Genomic DNA, 6,000 nt, shown 5'->3' with positions numbered 1-6,000 from the left:
GCTATGTACATGGCCTATTACATTCCCAGAGTTTAAGTACTGGTTTTATTTTATTTTATATCTCCTTCCATGAAATGATCATTCTTAGAAACTATCTGCTTCTGCAAAACGAACTTTAGTAAGTATAAAGAAGATAGTGATTTGAAACTTTTAGTTAAAAACTCAAGTTATCTGGGTGGACATAAAGCAGTGCCTTAAACCAGTGCCTTAAAACCAGTCTTTCACACTGCATTTATCAGTAGCAATTGTTTTGTAAACTGTTTTTTTTTTAATAAGATGACATGAGTGAGAGTCAACATTGATACTCAGCTTCTTCTTTCAGACATCCAACCACGTTGACGGTAGCGATGATGGTGGCCCCTGTTGTAGACACCTGTGCAGTAAAAGACTTTATTTCACACAGGCAGATAAACTGATGTCAGATGGTATCACTTAAAGCAGTGGATCTCAAATCTTAAAGTGCTTCAGAAACACCTGTAGTGCTTAACACACAGCTTTTGGGCTATCACCCCTAAAGTTTCTGGTTAAGTAGGTGAGGGATAGGGTGGAAGTTAGCATGTCCACTAAGTTCCCAGATGATGCTGATGCCGATGGTATAGAAACCACATTTTGAGAATCACTGATTTAGAGCAAAGGAATTCTGACTTCCCATACGTCACATAACTGCTGCTCTCTGAGTCAGTTTTTTCCTTCTCTCCCCCTTTCCCTCTCAATCTCTCTCCCTTTTCTCTCTTTTAAATTATAAGTAGGTATATTTGGGTCTAAGGAATTTACTCTTCCTCTGAGCTATTACTGGCTATTAAGGCATATTATCAACGTTATTTGAAGTTATCCTCAAACTTTTTAAAGTGCTGTCATCACGATCCGAAAATTACAACTCTCCTTTCATGCAGCATAAATAAGAAAAGAAGTTCTAAAATATACAAAGGGGAGAAAGGAGAGAGTTAAAATACCTTGCTTTCACTGATATAGTGCTGATATTTTACAATATGATCTCAATAAACCTTGTATAAGAAGATAGTTTTTGCTTTGAGTCATAAAAGGCACAAGGTAACAGAATCCCAAATTCCAAGATTTGAAAACAAGTTGTGGATAATTAGGCTCTTTTACTTTTCTCTGAGTGTAATGGAAAAATGAAAAAATAACAAAAATTAATTTTCTATGAAAGTTTTTCTTAAACACTGTGCCCCATATCTTTTGTTTCAATACAATCAGAACACCTGTTACCATAATAGGAGATGAAAATCATCTTTCATAAACACTTCTTTTACTTTTAGTTTAATTTTCAAGTAAATATTTGAATCAGAAGAATTTTTCAGGGGAATAAGTTTGAATACTCAGTGCTTTGACTCCCAGATCTTACATTTTCTACAAAATATACGATAGTCTATTCATGTATGTGTGAGTTAAGAGCAAGCCCCTCTATTTTTTAACCACCTGGTACTCAGCCCCAGGCCCAGATGGAATCCACTGACATCAACTGTCATTGTAATTAAATTGAAGAAAAAAAAAAAGTGCAACTGCGCTACAAACTTTCTGGTGAAGACCACTGTCCTTGGTAGCTTCACTGCTCTGCCATGACCAAGAATTGTCCCCCAGATTGTTTGCTGCCTTGCACTCTGTCAACATGTCTCCCTCACTAGACTGAAGCTCTTTTGAAGGCATGTTTGCATCGACGCCATCTCATTCCCTAGCACCTAGCACAGTGGTGCATTTTTAATTTAATCCAGCAAGGCTGACTATATCACTTTTTGTTGTTGTTGTTAAAAGAATATAATGATGTGATTTAGCTTATTCTTAAATGTTAAAGTGTTAGAGATGGAAATTACGTTAAAACTTTTACTGTGATAGAGTCTTACTGGCCATATGTTGAGACAAGAAATGTTAGCAATGGTCAATTTGCAAACCTGAGAAAATTGTGTAAATGAGTGAGTATATAGTTTTGTAAGATAGTTTTTGAATTACCTAACACAATATGCTATTTTATATATAAATATTTTCTCAGATATCACATTATAACAACAGTCTTGTGATTTTTTTTAAAAAAACTATTAAGTCAACTAACATGTCTATTGTTAATTCAGAATTAGTAATTGCTACTTCTTTTAGTAGCAAAAAAAATCATTGGATAGATTCTGGTAATTTTTAGGAACCAATCTGAATGTGAGAGATTAAAATAACAAGGGATTATAAAAAGAATTAGAAATGTTTAAACATTTAATTGACACATTTTAATACATGAAACTAAAAGTGAAATAGCCTGAAATAAGCTCAATTGAAGGTTAAACTTCTAACATATTTAAATCAAAAGTTGAGAAATCATTTTAAACTGACTTTTTTTTTATTTCCAAAGAGCAATAGATTAAAAAAAAAAAAGATCCACAAGTAATTTTAGCTTCACATCATAGGATAATAAAATTTCTGTTCCCAGTGATTTTAAAAAGGATAGTTTTACTCAGGTATCCTTGTCATATGAATAAATATTCTACCAGTTTTGAAGTGGTCCTGCTCCATTGGCTGCTGGGAGTGTGCTTATGCTAGTGAGCACAACTTGCTCAGAAAGTTTTGATATGTTATCAAAGTTGCTGATTTGAGTGGTCAAGGACTTCCGGCTCTCTGTGCTAGTTCGTCCCCTGGTGAGCCGATCCTCCTGGCGATGGTGAACTCCAAGGCAACAGCAAGAAAACGCAGCTTTAAATTCCTCTCGAAATTTTCCTGGCAAACAGAGAGAATGAAAGGAAAAGGAATTATACATAAATGCTTCAACAAATTATGAATAGGGTACAACTGAGTTGCTCCCTTGAGCCAAACTAACAATGAGGTGTAATATTTTGCAAAGATGGGTAAAATAGAATAAGGAAATTGAGTTTATTGGAAGCTTGGTAGACTCTTGAAACAATGAATATTTTCATAAAATAACGAGGCTGCCTTTCACATATGGGGCTTGGAATTTGCTTCATTCCTTTATAGTCAAACCTCATATATTTACGCATATTGGTATATTTTATCTACATAACTATAATGGAAGTGATCATCAGTAGAAGAACTCTCAGAGATATTTAATAATTAAACACAATGAAACTTATGTCATACAAAGCCAAAATTATACAAAAATTACTCCTGCATTTTACTCTAAATAACTGATACTGAAACAATTAAATCCACAAAATACCTAGAAACATACACTCAAATATCCAGAAAATTTTCAGTTTCATAATCTATATAAGAAAGAACAAAAACTGAAGGGGGAAAAATACTGTAGAAGCTATTCCTTGTCTTTAAATTATGGAGGAGATATTGGAGAACTATGAGAATGAATGAATCACTTTTATTAGTGTGAATGGCAGTATTGCGAATCATTTCTTCTCTCTTAGCCTCAGCTACGCACTGAGTTATCAGTGATTAAATGAGAAGATGAATGTTCACGGGCCCAGCACAATAGCAGTCACATAATGAGTTATCAGTGATTATCAGTTGCCTCCTCTAACTCACTTTTATCCTCCATACTAGGACTTTGACCTGGTTCTGTGACTTCTGCTTCAAACACTTCTCATTACAACTTCCTCATAGCCTTTACCTGCTTAGTGCGAGGTTCAGAGCTTTAGTCATTGTGCTAGATTTTTTTTTAAATAGAACAAAATTATTTCTCATCAATCTAATTTGTTGCCTTTTTTTTAAACCTATGCAAACCAGAAGGCCAAAGATCAAGTTGGAAGATGCAGAAGCTTTATTAAATATGCCACAAAATGAATTTCTATTCTTCCACATAAAATCACCATATATTTGAAGATAGAAATAACAAAGAAATCGCCAATGAGTTGGAGATTAAGGCAATGTAAAAAGGTAGCTAATTAAAACATAATTCTAAAAGTCAGTCGGGCAAAATGTGAATAAACAATAGTGATTTAAATGACTTTTATAATTATATTGATTCCATAAACAGATACAAATTGTATAAGTTACACATATATGTATGTGTGTATCATTTAACTTATGTGTTATTTTGGAGTAATACTATTTTTGGTAGTCAGTGGGAAATATTGAGATAAATCCAAGAGATGATACTCACAAGAGAAACGTAAATATAGTAAAATATCTAAAAGTGAATAGATCCCAATTCTGTCTCAATTAGGCTACACATTTTGGCAAAGGAATAATATAGCAAGGCAAAACAGAACAAAGTATTTTATATTTTTGTAAATCATGAGTTTAAAGTATGTCATGTAAGATTTTGTGTTATTGATTTCTCAGAATGTTTACTTTTCTTCTATTATAACATTTCTTATACGTTTGACATGGAAAAATCAGTTCATTTTCTCTGATGAGTTCAGTAACAAATACTTTGCCTCAAAAGAGAAGAAACTCAAGATAAATCAGGTCAGGGAAAAAATACAACTCACATAGCAACTAAACTCCTCATATAGTTGAAGAGTGTTCATTGATTCCTCATCCTTGGTTACAATTGTGGCTTATGGAAGAACAGTTGAAAACTCACCACTGAGAAAATTATAAATAATTGGATTCGCAGCACTATTGGCATATACAAGCCAGTGTGAAAAGGTAAACCAGGCATACACAGTCTCTCTGTCTTCAGTATGGGCAAACATCCCAAATACTCTGCAGGAAAAGAAACAACAGAAAAGTGTCTTTTAAATAATTAAATTCAAAGGTGAACAAGGCTATTGGTAGAGGATGGTCTGACTCCTGTCCTCTTCAGTTGCAGGAATTGACCACAGATTGGTTTCTGACCCCATAATTGGTTTAGAATAACTTCAGTGCCTGAACAGAACCTCCACAGCACAATCAATAAATCAAAAGCCAAATCAGGTCAGAGAAGGGTCTCTCCCTCCCACAAATAGCAGATGCAGTATTTCTTGTAAATAAGAATATGGAAGTTGAATATATATCTTCTTTATTTCATTTTCTTTCTAAATACAATTGAATAATGTTGTATTAATATTCTATTATGTGTATCATTTAAAAATCACTCCTAAATGATAGTCTTCAAGTACTTCTTCCTACTTTCATTTATGTATTGATCAAAGTATCATATGCCTTCAACTCCAATCTTCCTGGACTATCTGAAACTTGCCTTCTGGGACTCCTTAATACCCAGAGAAGAAACAGTTCTCGATGGGCAGAATTTTGGTAATTTTTAAAAATTAATGAGTGTTAATTTTTCATGTATTATTTTAAACTTTAAAAAATGTTTTGTTATGCTATCCTTAAAGACTATTAAAAAATTTTCTCCATACTTAGAAATATTCCATCTATAAATTCTAATCACTAACCTATAACAGATAACTTACAGCTACTCAATAAGATTATAGGCCAAAAATCATATATATTTCCTGCTAAAGTCTCCATCTTCGATTGTCTGTATCAGTGTGTGTGTGTGTGTGTGTGTGTGTGTGTGTGTTACAGCAAGAAGGCATGACAACAATGCATTTCTGGTATAAGGTGTACCTTATACCATTTCTGGTATAAAGAGTACTAGAGTTTTACAAAAATACTATATAGAGTGAAATAATACGGACAAAAGAAATTTGTACTATGTTATGACCCTTTACCTCAAAATGTCTTTGAAATCTTGGACAAACCTGAACTGTTGTAAAGAAATTGCTTTTGACTAATTCGGCAAAAAGTTAAGTTTTAAGGAGAAAAAGCTAGGAATGGTTTTTGTGGGAGAAAGAAAAAACAAATTTCATATGCAAGGATAAATAAATATAAGCATTTGAAAAAAAATGTGTGTGGTAACAAGAAAAACAATTTTCAAGTTCTTTTTTTCAAAAGTTTTTATGTTGTGGAAAAGAGTAGAATGCCCCAAAACTTGAAATATCTTAAATTTAACACAGCCTTGCTCCTTTGAAAGTTATTTGTTTTCCTTGGAAAGGAAGGGATTTGAGTCAGAAGAATAAGACATATATTATTGACAAAAAAAGTAGTTGGAAATAAAAGGAAAGAGCAAGTTCTGAGATACAGGAAATCCAAATACGTAAC

The 6,000-nt window shown here is 33.1% G+C and overlaps 1 protein-coding gene across 3 annotated transcripts in view; it reads right to left on the bottom strand.

The window, feature by feature from the left end:
- Positions 227–6,000, bottom strand: part of HCRTR2 (hypocretin receptor 2) — a 178,245-nt gene continuing 172,471 nt past the window's right edge. For 2 of the 3 annotated variants that reach the window (NM_001526.5, NM_001384272.1), the window contains 2 exons: positions 4,496–4,617; positions 2,323–2,715 (listed from right to left, as the gene is read on the bottom strand). In NM_001526.5, coding sequence (NP_001517.2) covers positions 2,486–2,715; positions 4,496–4,617 — 352 coding nt within the window. In that variant the 3' untranslated portion in view covers positions 2,323–2,485. Of the gene's footprint in view, positions 374–2,322; positions 2,716–4,495; positions 4,618–6,000 lie in introns of those variants that run through there. The other variant, XM_017010798.2, reaches the window with a different exon arrangement.

The sequence above is a fragment of the Homo sapiens genome, chromosome 6 (assembly GCF_000001405.40).
Source record: "Homo sapiens chromosome 6, GRCh38.p14 Primary Assembly".
NCBI classification, from domain to species: Eukaryota; Metazoa; Chordata; class Mammalia; order Primates; family Hominidae; genus Homo; species Homo sapiens.
The sequence above is the reverse complement of the archived record's forward strand: the minus strand, read 5'-3'. Positions and strand labels throughout refer to the sequence as shown.